Source organism: Homo sapiens, chromosome 12 (assembly GCF_000001405.40).
Source record: "Homo sapiens chromosome 12, GRCh38.p14 Primary Assembly".
NCBI classification, from domain to species: domain Eukaryota; kingdom Metazoa; phylum Chordata; class Mammalia; order Primates; family Hominidae; genus Homo; species Homo sapiens.
Window position 1 is genome coordinate 112,136,245 of NC_000012.12, and position 19,960 is coordinate 112,156,204.

General features: G+C 45.5%; 1 protein-coding gene across 2 annotated transcripts in view; it reads left to right on the plus strand.

Moving 5' to 3' along the window:
* Positions 1-17,360, plus strand: part of TRAFD1 (TRAF-type zinc finger domain containing 1) — a 28,045-nt gene extending 10,685 nt beyond the window's left edge. For both annotated transcript variants that reach the window (NM_001143906.2, NM_006700.3), the window contains exons 5-12: positions 4,575-4,980; positions 5,845-6,051; positions 9,342-9,418; positions 11,830-12,060; positions 13,507-13,627; positions 15,557-15,896; positions 16,183-16,255; positions 16,491-17,360. In NM_001143906.2, coding sequence (NP_001137378.1) covers positions 4,575-4,980; positions 5,845-6,051; positions 9,342-9,418; positions 11,830-12,060; positions 13,507-13,627; positions 15,557-15,896; positions 16,183-16,255; positions 16,491-16,547 — 1,512 coding nt within the window. In that variant the 3' untranslated portion in view covers positions 16,548-17,360. The remainder of the gene's footprint in view (positions 1-4,574; positions 4,981-5,844; positions 6,052-9,341; positions 9,419-11,829; positions 12,061-13,506; positions 13,628-15,556; positions 15,897-16,182; positions 16,256-16,490) is intronic.
* Positions 17,361-19,960: the final 2,600 nt, after the last annotated feature.

Consider the following 19,960-nt stretch of genomic DNA (forward strand, 5'->3'; position numbering starts at 1 on the left):
GGATTACAGGCATGAGCCACTGTACTCAGCCCAAAGTTTTTTTTTTTTTTTTGAGATGGAATCTTGTTCCCGTCTTGCAGGCTGGAGTGCGGTGGTGCAGTCTTGGCTCACTGTAACCTCCACCTCCCAGGTTCAAGCGATTCTCCTTCCTCAGCCTCCTGAGTAGCTGGGGTTATAGGCGTGCTCTACCATGCCTGGCTAATTTTTTTTGTATTTTTAGTAGAGACAGGATTTTGCCATGTTGGCCAGGGTGATCTTGAACTCCTGACCTCAGGTGATCCACCCACCTTGGCCCCTCAAGGTGCTAGGATTAAAGGCGTGAGCCACCATGCCCGGTCATTTTTCTTTTTTTTAATTAAAAACCTTTTTTAAGAGACACAGTCTCACTCTGTCACCCAGGCTAGCATGCAATGGCATGATCATAACTCACTGCAGCCTCGAATTCTTGGGCTCAAATGATCTACCTGCATAGGTGGTACTACAGGTATAGGCCTCTATGCCTGACTAATTTTATTTATTTTTGTTTTTCATAGAGTTGGGGTCTTGTTATGTTGCCCAGGCTAGTCTCGAACTCTTGGCCTCAAGTGATCCTCCCTTCTTGGCTTTCCCAAATGTCGAGATTACAGGCGTGAGCTATGGCATCTGGCCAAAACTGGCCAACGTTGAATGAGTATGTTAATTCACCAATTTAAAAATCCAGCCGGGCGTGATGGCTGATGCCTGTAATCCCAGCACTTTGGGAGGCTGAGGTGGGTGGATCACAGGGTCAGGAGTTCGAGACCAGCCTGGCCAATATGGTGAAACCCCGTCTCTACTAAAAATACAAAAATTAGCTGGGCGTGGATACGCACGTCTGAAATCCCAGCTACTCAGAAGGCTGAGGCAGGAGAATTGCTTGAACCTGGGAGGTGGAGGTTGCAGTGAGCCGAGATCGTGCCATTGCACTCCAGCCTGGGTGACAGGGTGAGACTCCATCTAAAACAAACAAAAAAAAACTGGCTCACCTTGTTTTCAAGTGTTGACATAAACAGTCAAAAGCACCACTCAGTCTTTTATAATGCAAGTGAAATCAGTGCTGTGCCCCTTCAAGGAACCACGTGACAGTTTGTTCAGTTGAGCACAAGTTCCTTGCAGGAACAGTTGCTGGCAGAAGGGCTGTGTCTACAGCCCATGTGGAACCAAGGACAGTTTTCCCATTCAGTAGGGAGCATCCCTCAGCCTTGATCTTCATTTCTTGGCTGGGCGCAGTGGCTCACGCCTGTAATCCCAGCACTTTGGGAGGCTGAGGCGGGCGGATCACGAGGTCAGAAGATTGAGACCATCCTGGCTAATACGGTGAAACCCCGTCTCTACTAAAAATACATAAAATTAGCTGGGCGTGGTGGCGGGCGCCTATAGTCCCAGCTACTTGGGAGGCTGAGGCAGGAGAATGGCGTGAACCCGGGAGGCGGAGCTTGCAGTAAGCCGAGGTTGCGCTACTGCACTTCAGTCAGGGCGACAGAGCGAGACTCCGTCTAAAAAAATAAATAAATAAAAATAAATAAATAAAAATCCAAACAGCTGTTTATATGGTAGTTATAGAAGAGTGGATATACATATGTAAAAATTCACCAAGGTATATACTTAAAGATTTGTGCATTTCATTCTGTGTGCCTCAAACTGTAACAACTTGATTTTATTAATTTATAATTAAATTACCCTTAAAGGTAATTCACAGCGGGCTACAGTGACTCATGCCTGTATCCTAGCACTTTGGGAGGCCAAGGCGAGAGCATTGCTTAAACCAAAGAGTTCAAGACCAGTCTAGGCAATATCGTGAGACCCCTATCTCTACAAAAAACTAAAAAATTAGCTGGGAATGGTGGTCCGTTCCTGTAGTCCCAATTGCTCGAGGGGCTGAGGTACGATATTGTTTGAGCCTGGAGGTTGAGGCTGCAGTGAGCCCTGTTTGTGCCACTGCATTCCAGCCTAGGCGACAAAGTAAGACCCTGTTTCAAAAAAATAAAAATAAAAATAAAAAGGTAGGCCAGGCGCAATGACTCAGCCTGTAATCCCAGCACTTTTGGAGGCAGAGGAGGGCGGGTCACTTGAGGTCAGAAGTTCAAGACCAGCCTGGTCAACATGGTGAAACCCCATCTCTACTAAAAATACAGAAATTAGCCAGGCATGGTGCCGCATGCCTGTAATTCCAGCTACTCGGGAGGCTGAGGCAGGATAATTGCTTGAACCTGTGAGGCAGAGGTTGCAGTGAGCCAAGATCACACCACTGCACTCCAGCCTGGGCAACAGAGTGAGACTGTCTCAAAAAAAAACAAAAACAAAAACAAAAAATGCTGGGCGTGGTGGCTCACGCCTGTAATCCCAGCACTTCGGGAGGCTGAGGCAGGCAGATCACATGAGGTCAAGAGTTCAAGACCAGACTGGCCAAAGTGGTGAAACCCCATCTCTACTAAAAATACAAAAATTAGCCAGGTGTGGTGGTAGGCTCCTGTAATCCCAGCTACTTGGGAGGCTGAGGCAGGAGAATTGCTTGAACCCAGGAGGCAGAGGTTGCACTGAGTCGAAATCATGCCATTGTACTCCAGCCTGGGCAACAGAAGCGAACTCCGTCTCAAAAAAAAAAAAAAAAAAATTAAACTAAAGTTCTATTCTAAATGCTACTCCAACATTTTCAGCACTGTTTGTATATACATGAACTACCTCTTGCAGGAAACACAATAAATTGATAAAAAGGCCTTAGGTAGCAGAGGAACAGGGGAGAAGAGACATGATTTTTACATATATCCTTTTTGGGCTTTAAAATTGTATACCAGCTGTGCACAGTGGCTCACGCCTGTAATCCCAGCACTTTGGAAGGCCAAGGTAGGAGGACTGCTTGAGCCTAGGAGTTTTGAGATCAACCTGGGCAACATAAGGAGACCCTTGTCTCTACAAAATAAAAAATAAAACAAAAAACCTAGCTAGGCATGATGGCATATACCTGTGGTCCCAGCTACTTGGGAGGCTGAGGTGGGAGGATTGCTTGAGCCCAGGAGGTCAAGGCTGCGGTAAGCCATGATCGTACCACTGCACTCCAGCCTGGGTGACACTGAGATCCTGTCTCAAAAAAAAGAAAAGAAAAATTAAAATTAAAAAATAAAATTTGATACCATGTAGATATAATGCCAATTCAGAAAGTTTTTTTTCAAAAGCTTTTTTTTTTTGTTTTCCACTCTGTCACCTAGGCTGGAGTGCAGTGGTGTTATCCCAGCTCACTGCAACCTCCACCTCCCGGGTTCAAGCAATTCTCCTGCCTCAGCCTCCCGAGTAGCTGGGAGTACAGGTGAATGCCACCACACCCTGCTAATTTTTGTATTTTTGGTAGAGTGGGGTTTCACCATGTTGGTCAGGCTGGTCTTGAACTCCTAACTTCAGGTGATCTGCCTGCCTTGGCCTCCCAAAGTGCTGGGATTACAGGCGTGGGCCATTGCCCAGGTCCCAAAGTTCTTTTATTAGATAAATAACACGGATTTGCTAGGAGTAGTGGCTCATACCATTTGAGGATGGGAGTTTGAGACCAACTTGGCTAACGTGGTGAAACCCCTTCGGTGCTAAAAATACAAAAAAATTAGCTGGGTGTGGTGGCACGCACCTGTGGTCCCAAGCAACTCAGGAAGCTGAGGCACAAGGATTGCTTGAACCCGAGAGGTGAAGGTTGTAGTGAGCTGAGATTGCACCATGCACTCCATGCACACCACTCTGTCGCTGGGCGACAGCAAGACTTTCTCAAAAAATAATAATAATAAATGAAAAATAAAGCCTGTGCTAAATACAAATATGAAGGTTAGAGAAACCTGTGTCTTTCTAAAGTGCAGTTTCTTTTCCTCATTATTAGGTACTTAAGACTGAATTGGAGGCCGGGCGTGGTGGCTCAAGCCTGTAATCCCAGCACTTTGGGAGGCTGAGGCGGGCGGATCACAAGGTCAGAAGTTCAAGACCAGCCTGGCCAACATAGTGAAACCCCGTCTCTACTAAAAATACAAAAAATTAAGTGGGTGTGGTGGTGTGTGCCTGAAATCCCAGCTACTCAGGAGGCTGAGGCAGGAGAATCGTGTGAACCTGGGAGGCAGAGGTCGCAATGAGCCAAGATTGCGCCATTGCACTCCAGCCTGGGCGACAGTGCGAGACACTGTCTCAAAAAAAAAAAAAAAAAAAGACTGAATTGGAATAGTTGGTAGGGGACAGGGACATTGGAGCTTTGACAAACATCTGACTTGCTATGATTCTTGTTATTTGCTCCTGGGCTTCTCTGGCTGGTTTTAGATTACTAAGTAATGTGTGCACAAAACAATATGATAGTTAGGGTGGCTGAGTAGTGGGCTCCCTCTAATATTTTATTTTCCTTTATAGAACATTGTGGCAGGAACAAAAGGGGAAGCTGTGACTCTTAAATAATTAAATACATTAAAAAAGGGTAGGAGAATCAAGGGTTGGAAGAGAAGATTGCAGTAGATACTCTTGGCTTTCCTTGCCCTATACTAAAACACACCTCTCCTAGATATGCATATTAACTGCCTCATTCCTCTGTTTTGTAGGAGACTGAGTGCCCTTTGCGGCTTGCTGTCTGCCAGCACTGTGATTTAGAACTTTCCATTCTCAAACTGAAGGAACATGAAGATTATTGTGGTGCCCGGACGGAACTATGTGGCAACTGTGGTCGCAATGTCCTTGTGAAAGATCTGAAGACTCACCCTGAAGTTTGTGGGAGAGAGGGGGAGGAAAAGAGAAATGAGGTTGCCATACCTCCTAATGCATATGATGAATCTTGGGGTCAGGATGGAATCTGGATTGCATCCCAACTCCTCAGACAAATTGAGGCTCTGGACCCACCCATGAGGCTGCCGCGAAGGCCCCTGAGAGCCTTTGAATCAGATGTTTTCCACAATAGAACTACCAACCAAAGGAACATTACAGCCCAGGTTTCAATTCAGAATAATCTGTGTGAGTTGTGCTTGGGATTAGGGAACTAGAATGGTATCAAAATCCCAAGGCAAATGGGAACAGGGCTTTGGGGCCAGATAGATCTTGATTATAGAAACCCGACTGTAGCTGAGTAACACTGGGAAGAATACCTCTCTTTCCTATAAAATGGAAATAACCTCCATTGGATTATAGTTAGGGTTCATAATGGTGAGTATGATGACAGTGTTGTAAATAGCCAACACTTATACAGATTGAGTATCCCTTATCCAAAATACTTGGGGCCAGAAGTGGTTTGGCTTTTGAAGTATTTGCATTATATATACTGGATGAGCATCTCAAATCTGAGAATCTGAAATCCAAAATGTTCCAGTGAGCATTTTCTTTGAGAGCCATATTGATGCCCAAAAAGTTTCAAATTTTGGATTTTTGGATTGGTATGCTCAACCTGTATCTTATTTCCCTTAGGCATTTGCAAAGTGCTTTATACGTATTAACTCATTTAATTCTCTCATTATTTGAAGGTAGGTAAATTTGAAGGTAGAACTGAGATTTGAATTCAGATAATCTGACCTCGTGCTTTAAACCATTCTACTGTAATTCAGAAAATAAGTATAAAATGTTTAGCACAGTGCCTGTCTCATAATTATGGCTCAGTAATATTGCTTAATAATACAGTTAGAATAATAATGGAGCCTTTTCACAGGGCAGACTTTAATGTTCAAAGCTAGGAGACCCAGAGGGTGAAGAGAGCTAGTTGAACATGGTCATTTTTATTCCTTCCCGGATGCCTGTAAACCTTGACTATTTGCTAGGCATGGACTTGAGTTGAGGGTGGTAACATTTCTAATGTATCCTGAATGTTGGTTGGTTTTTTTTTTTCAGTTGAAGAACAAGAGAGGCAGGAAAGGAATAGAGGCCAACAGCCCCCCAAAGAGGGTGGTGAAGAGAGTGCAAACTTGGACTTCATGTTGGCCCTAAGTCTGCAAAATGAAGGCCAAGCCTCCAGTGTGGCAGAGCAGGACTTCTGGAGGGCCGTATGTGAGGCCGACCAGTCTCATGGCGGTCCCAGGTCTCTCAGTGACATAAAGGGTAGGCTTGCTTATTCTGCACTAGCCTCTTTCTCTACAGTTTTTGTAAGTCTTAGGTTATACAATTCTTATACAATTGAAAGATTTTAATGAAATAGAATTTGCCTTACTCTTTTTTGTTTCTTTTTTCTTTTCTTTTTTGGGACAGTCTCGCCCTGTCACCCAGGCTGGAGTGCAATGTAATGATCTCGGCTCACTGCAACCTCTGCCTTCTGGGTTCAAGTGATTCTCGTGCCTCTGCCTCCCAAGTAGCTGGGATTACAGGTGAATGCTTGAACCCAGGAGGCAGAGGTTGCAGTCAGCTGAGATTGTGCCACTGCACTCCAGCCTGGTGACAGAGTGACACCTTGTCTCAAAAAAAAAAGGCTCTAAAGGACATTATTGTACAAGTAGAGAACTTACATTAAAGTTGCTGAGAGTGACATCCGTATTGTTTACATAGGAGAAAGCAGTGCCCTTGTTCTTCAAAGGCACATGATGAAGTACTTAGGAATAAAATGTTATGTGTTCAAACTTATTCTCAAATAGTTCAGGGGAAAAATACATAAAAGTAATGTGAGGAAATATTAAGCTTTGTGAATATAGATGAGGAGTATATGGGTATTTGCTATACTATTCTGAACATTTTTTTTTTTTTTTGGAGATGGAGTTTTGCTCTTGTTGCCCAGGTTGGAGTGCAATGGCACGATCTCGGCTCACTGCAACCTCTGCCTCCTGGGCTCAAGTGATTCTCCTGCCTCAACCTCCTGAGTAGCTGGGATTACAGGCATGTGCCATCACGCCTGGCTAATTTTTTTTTTTTTGAGACAGAGTCTTCCTCTGTTGCCCAGGCTGGAGTGCAGTGGCACGATCTCGGCTCACTGCAACCTCCGCCTCCCGGGTTCACGCCATTCACCTGCCTCAGTCTCCCGAGTAGCTGGGACTACAGGCGCCCACCACTACACCCGGCCAATTTTTTGTATTTTTAGTAAAGACGGGGTTTCACTGTATTAGCCAGGATTGTCTCGATCTCCTGACCTCGTGATCCGCCTGCCTCGGCCTCCCAAAGTGCTGGGATTACAGGCGTGAGCTACTGCGCCCAGCCATGCCCGGCTAATTTTTTGTATTATTAGTAGAGACGGGGTTTCGCCATGTTGGCCAGGCTGGTCTCAAACTCTTGATGTCAGGTGATCCACCTGCCTCAGCCTCCCAAAGTGCTGGGATTATAGGTGTGAGCCACTGCGCCCAGCCATTCTGGGTAATTTCTTATCGGTCTTCTAGTTCACTGATTTTTCTCCGTAGTTATTTCTAATCTGTTGTTTAATGTGTCCCTTAAGATTTTCACTTAGTGATTATATATTTCATTTTGAGTTCTGTTTGATCCTTTTCCTCATTGTACCTCCTAATTTTTAAAATAATCTTTTGTTCCATAGTCATATTACAGTTCCCGCTTTGGTTTTTTTTTTTTTTTTTTTTTGAGGCAGGATCTTGCTCTGTCACCGAGGCTGGAGTGCAGTGGTGTGATCGCGGCTCACTGCAGCCTCCGCCCCCAGGCCTCAAGTGATCCTCCCACTTCAGTCTCCGATGTAGCTGGGACCACAGGCATGCACCACTACCTTTTTTTTTGTATTTTTAGTAGAGATGGTTCCTTACCATGTTGCCCAGGCTAGTCTCGAACTCCTGAACTCAAGCAATCTGCCCCACCTCGGCCTCCCAAAGGATTGGGATTACAGGCATTAGCCACTGCGCCCAGCATAGTTCCCTCTTTAACATGTCTTTAAACATGTTAAATATACTTATTTTTCTTTTGTGTCCAAAAATAGCAAAAACTGTTTCTTTGCTATGTTGTTTCTGCGTCTCCTGTTCATGGAGGCTTGCTACGTGTGTGTGTGAACACCAAGTTTTCTAGCATGTTCCTCTGAGAATTTATAAATGCTTCTGGCAGGCACATAGAGATACTACCATTAGGGGTAACTTTAAGCTTTTGGCCTGGACTTTTTTTTTTTTTTTTCTTGAGACAGAGTCTCCCTCTGTTGCCCAGGCTGGAGTGCCATGGCGCGATCTTGGCTCATTGCAACCTCCGCCTCTGGGGTTCAAGTGATTTCTCCTGCCTCAGCCTCCAGGGTAGCTGGGATTACAGGCTTGTACCACCATGCCCGCCTAATTTTTGTATTTTTAGTAGAGACAGGGTTTTACCGTGTCGCTCAGGTTGGTCTGGAACTCCTGACCTCAGGTAATCCACCCACCTTGGCCTCCCAAAGTGCTGGGATTATAGGTGTGAGACACCATGCCCGGCTGGCTTGGACTTTTAAAAAGCATAAACGTAGCTGAGCATCATGTCTCATTCCTGTAATCCCAACACTTTGGGAGGCTGAGACGGGAGGTTCATTTGAGCCAAGGAGTTCAAGACCATCCTGGGCAACAGAGTCAGACTTCATTTCTACACAATATAAACAAAAACTAGCTAGGCATGGTGGCACACACCTGTAGTCTCAGCTACTGGGTAGGCTGAGGTGGGAGGATCTCTTGAGCCTGGGAGATCAAGGCTGCAGTGAACCAAGATTGCACAACTGCACTCCAATCTAGGCAACAGAAAAAAAATCACAAATGCGAATTTATGTAAAAATAGAAACATAAAAAACAGAAGCACAGACTGTGACCCCAAACCTATGTAAGGGGCCAAGCTCTAGTTACTCTACTTGGTAGAGACTTTTCTTTTACCCAGAACTAAAATCTAGATGGGTAGAAGGGTAAATTTCCCTACATCCCGCCATTGTTCACCCTCCCATTTGTTTAGCAGTTTTCCTGAGGATGTTGTGTCTGGGAATCTTGGGTTTAAAATGTATCGATTTGTTCACTTCAGTTACTTTTAGGCAGCATTTTTTGGTACTGGGAGGAGTATTCAGGATATTGTTTGCCAGTTTATCCGTAAAATAAGGATAATGTAGGATCTACTTCGTAAGTTTTTTCTGAGGATTGAAATAGTGTGTGGAAAACACTTAAGATTATTGCCTATGGTTATTACACATTTAAATCGCTTCCTTAGAGTAGTGAGTAGCAGGTAAACTACTGCTATACTGCTACTCAGGAAATTGGGGTCAAGTACATTTCTTGTTTTGTCATGGAAGTTTTGGCCTAGAGTTTATCTCTTGGATGGGTTCCCTCTGAGAATATACAGCCCCACAAATTGCTATCTATAAGAAACATTAAAGAAAGCCAAACTTCTATATAAGACCCCATAAAGAGGATAAAAAGTTAAATTCAAGTTTGTTTTTGTTCATCCTGAGTCTCATTGTGTGGCCTAATACCTAGGTGCAGCTGACGAGATCATGTTGCCTTGTGAATTTTGTGAGGAGCTCTACCCAGAGGAACTGCTGATTGACCATCAGGTGTGTTATGAATTACTTGAGGACTTTTAGTAGGATTGTATGCAGGCCATAATTGGTGTTGCAGGCCACATGAGGCCTTGAACAAATCATTTTAATACAATGCCCATAGTAGGAATAGCAAGTGTTCTTTTCCATGATGTGAGTGGCATACAGATATGAAAACTTAGCCTTGTTCCTTCTTAGAAAAAGTGATGGCATCCTTTGTAGGGACATGGATGAAATTGGAAATCATCATTCTCAGTAAACTATCGCAAGGACAAAAAACCAAACACCACATGTTCTCACTCATAGATGGCAACTGAACAATGAGAACACATGGACACAGGAAGGGGAACATCACACTCTGGGGACTGTTGTGGGGTTGGGGGAGGGGGGAGGGATAGCATTAGGAGATATACCTAATGCTAAATGACGAGTTAATGGGTGCAGCACACCAGCATGGCACATGTATACATATGTAACTAACCTGCACATTGTGCACATGTACCCTAAAACTTAAAGTATAATAATAATAAAAAAAAGAAGAAGAAGAAGAAAAAAAAAAACAATAGTGAAATAACAGCAAAAAAAAAAAAAAAAAAAAAGTGATGGCAGTGATGTATGCCTGTAGTCCCAGCTACTCAGGAGGCTGAGGTGGGAGGATTGCTTGAGCCCATGAGTTTAAGGCCAGCCTGGGCAACATAGTGAGACCCCAGCTCTACCAAAAAAAAAGGGGGGGGCAGGGAATGATGCTCATTTCAGCAGACCTGGAAATCTCATGCTAGCAGCCCTTTCATGTGGTAGTGACTGGTGCACATATATCTCCACTATCCGTTTTGTGATCTGGTCTCATCTCATGCCACATTTTGATTTATTGGAGCTGTATTGAAGTCCTTGCATTTTTCTAGAAAGGTCAAGGGTGTTTTCTGCACATTACTTTATCTACCTGAAAGGTGTCTGGCCTTCTGCCCCTGTCTCCTTAACACATCCAACAACACAGACCCCTTACTTGTAGAGTTGGTTCAGATGTGACTTTATGGAAGCCATCCTGATAGGTACTATGAAGGCTAGGTCAGGAACCACACCTGTGTGCTTCTAAAAGTCTGTGCCCACCTCTCTTATAGTTTGTCACTTTATGATGTGGTCTTCTGATCTCCTGTTGGTCTGCACCACTAGGCTGATTTCCCTGAGGGCAGGTTCTGGGTTTTCCCAGTTTCGGAATCTCTAAATACTTGGTATCTGAAAAGGTGTCAGTTATTTGAATGATTGACTATTCTTGAGCCATTTAGGAATGATGAGCAAATAGCTTTATGTGTTTGAGGATTACCTGATGGAGGGAACTTCTGTTTTTTTTTTTTTTTTTTTTTTTTTTTTTTGAGATGGAGTCTCACTCTGTCGCCTAGGCTGGAGCGCAGTGACGCGATCGGGGCTCACTGCAACCTCTGCCTCCGGGGTTCCGGCTGTTCTCCTGCCTTAGCCTCCAGGGTAGCTGGGACTACAGGCACACACCACCATGCCTGGCTAATTTTGTATTTTTCGTAGAGACAGGGTTTCACCATGTTGGCTAGGCTGGTCTCAAACTCCTAACCTCGTGACCTGCCCACTTCAGCCTCCCAAAGTGCTGAGATTACAGGCGTGAGCCTCCACGTCTGGCCAGGAGGGAACTTCTTGTTCCCTCAATACTCTGATTTGGTTTGGCCTAGTCTGGCATTTCCACAACTACCAAATAGTGCCTGTGCTCTGGATGGTGGAACATACTTTCCCCCATAAATGAAATAATATATTATTTGAATACATGTAGTTTTTGTTTTGGGAGTACCATAGAAAATCCATTAACAAAGATAATAAAGAATATTTGTGCCTCTCTTTTACTGTATGGATGTGGTGGGAAGAACCTTGAATCTTTTCAAATTAATTTAAAAAGAATGAACACACTTAAAAAAAACCATAAAAATATTTAAAAGTAAAATGAGTGTTCTATGTGTATTCCTCTTTTTTGTTCCTCTTTCCAATATTAAGCATTTAAAAAAATTTTTTTTTTTTTTTTTGAGACGGAGTCTCGCTCTGTGACCCAGGCTGGAGTGCAGTGGTGCGATCTCGGCTCACTGCAACCTCTGCCTCTCAGGTTCAAGCAATTCTCTGCCTCAGCCTCCCAGGTAGCTGGGATTATAGCCAAGTGCCACCACGCCCGGCTAATTTTTGTATTTTTAGTAGAGATGGGGTTTCACTGTCTTGGCCAGGCTGGTCTTGAACTGCTGACCTCGTGATCCACCTGCCTCGGCCTCCCAAAGTGCTGGGATTACAGGCGTGAGCCACCGCGCCCGGCCAAGCATTGTTAAAATTATATGACTTCTTCTAGAAAATATTTTAGGAATGTAGTTTTTTTCTTAACCTCTGATTCTTGTTTTTAACCTATATTTTTTGAATGACAGACAAGCTGTAACCCTTCACGTGCCTTACCTTCACTCAATACTGGCAGCTCTTCCCCCAGAGGGGTGGAGGAACCTGATGTCATCTTCCAGAACTTCTTGCAACAGGCTGCAAGTAACCAGTTAGACTCTTTGATGGGCCTGAGCAATTCACACCCTGTGGAGGAGAGCATCATTATCCCATGTGAATTCTGTGGGGTACAGCTGGAAGAGGAGGTGCTGTTCCATCACCAGGTAAGGGTCCCTGGAGTCCCTGTCCATGTGGCTCTGTGCGTGAACCTGAGGCTTCCAGAGCTGAGAACACTTCCTTAGCCTTTAAGTTGCATTCCATCCTGACAAGGAATGCACACACTTGGCTTCTGGCCAAGTCATCTTTGTGAGCTGTCTGTGGTAACCAATACCGCAGGCTTTCAGACTTTCCCTCCCTTTGGGCAACTGAAGCCATCTTGTTACTAGCTGAGGACCAAAGAGCCAGGACTCTATTTGAGCAGGTGTGGAAGGAAGCCTTGTCAGAGAGTTTAGATGACAGTCTCCCTGCTTTTCACCAGGTGGGTTTTTCCCATTGTGGTGGCATTTGAGACTTGCATTCTAGGAGACCTGAGGGTCTACTTCTGGTTTTGTCCTGTGGATGACCCTTACTGGGGCCATCTGTGAGGGAGTTGGACTAGACAATATGAAGTCATTTTTCAGCATTTACAGTATAGGATTCCAATCTATTAGTGGAAAATATGTTTTCTGCCCAATCGTATATGTTACAGGGAGTGAGAGTCAACACTGCAGCTACCATTTCTGTAGTTGATGCCATGTAGCTGTTACTAGAACATTGTACATTTCATTTCTGTAATAAAGACTCCTGCTTTTCAGAGGCCAGGCATGGTGGCTTATGCCTGTGATCCCAGCACTTTGGGAGGCTGAGGCGGGCAGATCACTTGAGGTCAAAAGTTTGAGACTAGCCTGGCCAACATGGTGAAACCCCATCTCTACCAAAAATACAAAAATTAGCTGGATGTGGTGGCGGGCACCTGTAATCCCAGCTACTCGGGAGGCTGAGGCATGAGAATCACTTGAACCTGGGAGGCAGAGGTTGCAGTGAGCCGAGATCACACCACTGCACTCCAGCCTGGGTGACAGAGCGAGACTCTGTCTCAAAAAAAAAAGAGAAAGAAAGAAAAAAAAAGACTTTTGCTTTGGGATCAAACAGTAGATAAGTGACTGCTTACCCTCTAGGGCAGACTGAAATAAGCAACGACACAAATAAATACTCTGGTGAGAGTATAGAAATGCTTTTCAGCTGCTCTGAAGGTAGTGAGTTATCTCAGTTGATTGTTCACAGTCAGTTACAGATTGAACTCCTTGTTCTACTCTTTTCCCCGTTCTCACTATTGCACTTGAATAGTCTTAAAAAACAGAAAAAAAAAAGAAATAAATGTTTTTCTGGGCTCCAAGATCAGCCCTTCCCGCATCCCTGCACAAATCAGAAAGTGTTTCTGTCAGTGCCTCATGTGCCGATGGGATTGAATGCAACCATTCCAGATGTGTGGTTTCTGAAAGTTCCCAGAACTTTCAGAGGTTGTCAAAGTCCCCCTCCAGATGAGGAATACACTGCTGTTCCTCCCATCGCATGCTCTTTTCTGGGAATGACTCAATTCAGAGGTACTAATTCTGGTTTTTCTTGTTTAGGACCAGTGTGACCAACGCCCAGCCACTGCAACCAACCATGTGACAGAGGGGATTCCTAGACTGGATTCCCAGCCTCAAGAGACCTCACCAGAGCTGCCCAGGAGGCGTGTCAGACACCAGGGTATTTATTAGCCAGGACTCAGCCAAGGCCGCAGGTCTACTGCTGGCTCCGGCCTGTTTACCACTTCCCATCCACTGCTCTAATGTGGGGATTACCTGCATCTCAAATTTCCAAACACACTAGGGTCTCATAGGGGACTCCTCTGCAGGTAGTTGTGGTCCCACATTAGACTGAGCTCTCTCAAGTGTGTGATTTTTAGGGTAATGGCTTTGCGGACATCCATGAGATACATGTAGTAGTAAGTGCTTGTAATAAGTTTCTGGTTTCCTATCTGTGCACTTAGTGGATTATTTGTAGATAATTTGCAGACCTTATGGTAGCTACCCTGGGCCCCCATTTCAAGTTGAAATACACTTAGGGTACTCAAACCTATTATTATTATTTAATTTTTTTGTAGAGACAGAGTCTTGCTCTGTCACCCAGGCTGGAGTACAGTGGCACAATCATAGCTTACCACAGCCTCAAACTCCTGGGCTCAAGTGATCCTCTCTCCTCAGCCTCCCAAGTAGCTGGAACTACAGGCACACTCTACTACACCCAACTAATTTTTTTGTTTTTGTAGAGATAGGGTCTTGCTATGTTGCCCAGGGTGATTTCGAACTCTTGGCCTCAAGTAGTCCTCCTGCCTTGGACTCCCAAAGCATTGGGGTTACATGCGTAGGCCACTGTGACCGACCTCAAACTTATTTATTTAATTTATTTTTTTTAGACAGGGTCTCTTTGTCATCCAGGCTGGAGTGCAGTGGCGTGATCACTGCAGTCTCAACCTCTTGAGCTCAAGTGATTCTCCCACTCTTAGCCTCCTGAGTAGCTGGGACTATAGGTAGGCTAGGTGCCCACCAACACACCCAGCTAATTTTTAATTTTTTTTTGTAGAGTTGGGGTTTCGCCACATTGTCCAGGCTGATCTTGAACTCCTGGGCTCAAGTGTTCCTCCCAGCTCGGCCTCCCAAAGTGTTGGGATTACAGGTGTGAGCCATCACACCCAGCCTCAAACTTATTATTATTACTTAAGACCATCATGTTTAGGCAAGTAAACTGTTTTTGAAACCTCACCACTACAAAGCCAATTAGAAATTATTTTTTGGCTGGGCATGGTGACTCACACCTGTAATCCCAGCACTTTGGGAGGCTGAGGTGGGCGGATCACAAGGTTGGGAGTTCAAGACCAGCCTGGCTGACATCATGAAACCCCGTCTCTACTAAAAATACAAAAATTAGCCGGGCGTGGTGGCGGGCGCCAGTAGTCCCAGCTACTTGGGAGGCTGAGGCAGGAGAATCACTTGAATCCAGGAGGCAGAGGCTGCAGTGAGCCAAAATCATGCCATTGCACTCCAGTCTGGGCGACAGAGCAAGACTCCATCTCAAAAAAAAAATTATTTTTCAAGGTTTGCTTGCACACTATTGTTGAATAGTTAGGAGGCTGTCTTTGAGGACTCAGATAATATGTGCAGAATTGATAAAATATCCCCATCTCTGCCCTGGAGATGTGGGTTCCAGCAGCCTTTTGGGGTGAGCAGTTGTCTTTTTTTTTTTTGAGACACAGTCTTGCTCTGTCTTGTCCAGGCTGGAGTGCAGTGGCATGATCTTGGCTCACTGCAGTCTTCACCTCCTGGGTTTAAGTGATTCTCCTGGTCTCAGCCTCCTGAGTAGCTGAGACTATAGCTGTGTGCCACCTCACCTGGCTAATTTTGTATTTTTTTTTTAGTAGAGATGGAATTTCACCATGTTGGCCAGGCTGGTCTCTAACTCTTGACCTCAGGTGATCCCCGCACCTCGGCCTCCCAAAGTGCTGGGTTTACAGGCATGAGCCACCACGCCTGGCTGAGCAGTTGTCTTCTATCTGGAATCTTTTTGTTCCTGCCCTAAACCTGGCACTATAGCCAGAGCAGGCTTTTTCCTAAAGCTGTTACCATTTTCTCTTCTCAGGAGACCTGTCTTCTGGTTACCTGGATGATACTAAGCAGGAAACAGCTAATGGGCCCACCTCCTGTCTGCCTCCCAGCCGACCCATTAACAATATGACAGCTACCTATAACCAGCTATCGAGATCAACATCAGGCCCCAGACCTGGGTGCCAGCCCAGCTCTCCTTGTGTGCCGAAGCTCAGCAACTCAGACAGCCAGGACATCCAGGGGCGGAATCGAGACAGCCAGAATGGGGCCATAGCCCCTGGGCACGTTTCAGTGATTCGCCCTCCTCAAAATCTCTACCCAGAAAACATTGTGCCCTCTTTCTCCCCTGGGCCTTCAGGGAGATACGGAGCTAGGTAAGAATCAGTAGCCCAGGAATGGGGCTTGGGAGTAGCTGAAGCGAACATGGGCAAAGGCCTGGTTACCCTTGCCAGGCCTGGGGTAAGACTGAGGTACTTGCATGGTAAGGGGAGGAGTATGGATTTTCCCTGTATTGTCACCTGACTCCAAAAAAATTATTTTGTGGCCTATGGGTTTTTTGGGGTTTGTCTGCTAGCATAGGACTGCTTCCTGTTCCCTCTGAGTTTGTTGACCTTTGCTCAGGGACACTTCAGGAGCTAGTTTCTAATTGTTTTCTTTCAGTGGTAGGAGTGAAGGTGGCAGGAATTCCCGGGTCACCCCTGCAGCTGCCAACTACCGCAGCAGAACTGCAAAGGTAAGGTGGGCTCCAGCCCATGATGCTCAGTGGGGGACTCAGACATGGTGGGGCTTGTGTGGCTCCTGAAGTTGTAGAAGTTGTTGGGACCAGGCTGGTTGTGGTTCAAAGATTGTTCCTTTGGCTTTTGAGAAGGAGGTTTCTAAGGAAGCGGGACATTTTCGGGGATCCAGGGGAGGAGTAATGCTTTTTCACTTTTTATGTAAAGCTTCGTTTGTGTTGTGTTGTTCACCAGGCAAAGCCTTCCAAGCAACAGGGAGCTGGGGATGCAGAAGAGGAAGAGGAGGAGTAATGGTGTCTCCAGAGACTTTACATCGGTTCCTGTCTTCTGTGCACAGCAGCACTTGCCGCTGTGCAGGCCCACCTCTTTGGCTCTTTGGGTGGGAGAGTTTTTCCAGATTTTAGATTTTTCTAGGTTATGGCCATTTTGTGTCTTTTGAGGTTGTGCTGTGGGGGTTTGGGTTTGAGGGAAGGGAGCAGGGTGGCGGTTGAGGAACGCTTCAGCCTTAGCTGCTACCTTTCGGCAGCAGTGAAATACAAGCTGCAGCCTCGGCTGCCAGGGCTCCCTTTTGACTTATTGTCGCCACTGCCCCTTGGTGCTGTGTGGTCCCAGTGGAAGGAGGGGAAGATTTTGGAAACCTGGTAGCCACCAGTAAGGTGATTCTCTGCCCTGTTGGGGCCTAAATTTGGGGGCTTTTGGGCAACCTCTCCGTGTACTGCGTCTGTCCACACTCGATTGGGCCCCAGGTGTGTATGAGGCGCTCTGGTAAGGTGCTCAGGCCAGTTGCAATGTCTGTCAGTAACGAGGCTTTTGATGTGTTGAGCTGGAGGTGAGTGGACCGGGGGCTGTGTTTTAAGCTGCTTCCTTGGCATTTGGCATCACTGCCTTCTGTTCCCGGGGGAGCATGGATCTTTTGTCCTCACTGCTTTCTAATGGGGAGGGCTGAGGGCTCCCTGTCCCCACAGCAGGTATGTTGGGCTCTGCCCCAGCCCCACACTTGCTCTGAAAACCAAGTGTCAGAGCCCCTTCCCCTTGTTTTTATTTTACTGTTATAATAATTATTAACTTCCTTGTAATAGAAATAAAGTTTGTACTTGGAGTTCAGCTCAGTCTTGTGGTTCCTTCTCCTGTGTGCTTTAGAGACTGCAGGGAGGGCAGGGTAGGCTGGAGTCAGCCCTGGGGTTGGAGGAGGTGAGCAGGGCTGGGCTTTCTCCGGCACTCCAGTAACCCTCGCAGCTCCACCATGAGTCCCTTCTTGGAGTACACAGACATTGAACGTGTAGTGTTTTAAATTGGACTTCTGAGAAAACTGACAGGCTTGCTGCAGCTCCGGTGATGACTGGGGCTAGAAGGGGTGCCTCTGACTGAATAGAGAAAAGCAGATTCTTCAAAAGCCTTCATCCTGAGAGGAGTTGAGCCCTAGCAGGATTAGCTGTTACCCCTCAGTGCCTCCGTCTGCATAGGACCACTGAGCACCGTAGGTCATTTTGAGTTCCTTTGTTCTTCCAACAACCTGTTGGGGTGGGAAAGGTGGGAGGAACTGCCCTATTTCATAGATGGAACACTAGACACGGGAACCATGCGGCCAGTTCTTTGCAGAGGCAGGTCTCTGAAAAGAATTATCCTGAGAGAAAAAAGCTTCGTCTGCATGCACTCGCGCACACACACAAACGATACATAGTAGGGTTAGATCTTTTAGTGTATGTCAGTTATATCTCAGTAAAACAAAATCACCTTAGCTCAGTGAGACTTTCATGTGTTGTTGCGTGAAAGAAACTGGAGGGACTCGGACTTGCATGGCTTCTGCTGTCATTGAAATCTCCCTGGAACTTCAAAAAGTTGGGAGGAAGGATCCAGGGCAGCTCTAAGTCCTCTCCCCAGCTGGGCCAGGGAACAGTCATGTTGCCCTTAACTGTCTGTTGGAGTGTGGGGATAGACCTGCCAGAAAGTCAAACTCTCCCCACTCTGCCTTTGGTTGGATTAGACATTGAGTAAAATAGTAGGAGGTTGGTTGGTTTTACACTGTTTTTTTGAGACAAAGTCTTGCTCTGTTGCCCGGGCGGGAGTGCAGCGGTGCGATCTTGGCTCACTGCAACCTCCACCTCCCAGGTTCAAGTGATTCTTCTGCCTCAGCCTCCTGCGTAGCTGGGATTACAGGTGTGCGTCACCATGCCCAGCTAATTTTTGTATTTTTAGTAGAGACCGGGATTCACCATGTTGGTCGGCTGGTCTCAAACTGCTGACCTCGTGATCTGCCCACCTCGGCCTCCCACAGTGCTGGGATTACAGGCGTGAGCCACTGTGACCCGCCAACAATGGGGTTTTCTAAATATACAGTTATGTCATCTGCAAACAGAGACAATATGATTTCCTCTCTTCCTACTTGAATACCCTTTATTTATCTTGCCTGACTGCCCTGACCAGAACTTCCAACACTATGTTGAATAGGAGTGGTGAGAGAGGGCATCCTTGTCTTGTGCCGGTTTTCAAAGGGAATGCTTCCAGTTTTTGCCCATTCAGTATGATATTGGCTGTGGGTTTGTCATAAATAACTCTTATTATTTTGAGATGAGTTCCATCAATACCTAATCTATTGAGAGTTTTTAGCATGAAGGGGTGCTGAATTTTATCAAAGGCCTTTTCTGCATCTATTGAGATAATCATGTGTTTTTTGTCATTGGTCTATTTATATGATGGATTACATTTATTGATTTGAGTATGTTGAACCAGCTTTGCATCCCTGGGATGAAGCCGACTGGTGGATAAGCTTTTTGATGTGCTGCTGGATTCAGTTTGCCAGTATTTTTTTTTTTTTTTTTTTTTTTGAGACAGAGTCTCGCTCTGTTGCCCAGGCTGGAGTGCAGTGGCATGATCTCAGCTCACTGCAAGCTCTGCCTCCCGGGTTCATGCCATTCTCCTGCCTCAGCCTCCCGAGTAGTTGGGACTACAGGCGCACGCCCGGCTAATTTTTTTGTATTTTTAATAGAGCCAGGGTTTCACTGTGTTAGCCAGTATGGTCTCGATCTCCTGACCTTGTGATCCACCCACCTTGGCCTCCCAAAGTGCTGGGATTACAGGCGTGAGCCACCGTGCCCGGCCAGTTTACCAGTATTTTATTGAGGATTTTCACATCGATGTTCATCAGGGGTATTGGCCTGAAATGTTCTTTTTTTGTTGTGTCTCTGTCAGGTTTTGGTATTAGAATGATGCTGGCCTCATAAAATGAGTTAGGGAGGAGTCCCTCTTTTTCTATTATTTGGAATAGTTTCAGAAGGAATGGTACCAGCTCCTCTTTCTACCTTTAGTAGAATTTGACTCTGAATCCATCTGGTCTTGGGTTTTTTTCGGTTGGTAGGCTATTAATTACTGCCTCAATTTCAGAACTTGTTATTGGTCTATTCAAGGATTCGACTTCTTCCTGGTTTAGTCTTGGAAGGGTGTTATGTGTCCAGGAATTTATCAATTTCTTCTAGATTTTCTAGTTTATTTGCATAGAGATGTTTATAGTATTCTCTGATGGTAGTTTGTATTTCTGTGGGATCAGTGGTAATATCCCCTTTATCATTTTTTATTGTGTCTATTTGATTTTTCTCTCTTCTCTATTAGTCTGGCTAGTGGTGTATTTTGTTAATCTTTTCACAAAATGAGGTCCTGGATTCATTGATTTTTTGAAGGGGTTTTCCTGTCTCTATCTCCTTCAGTTT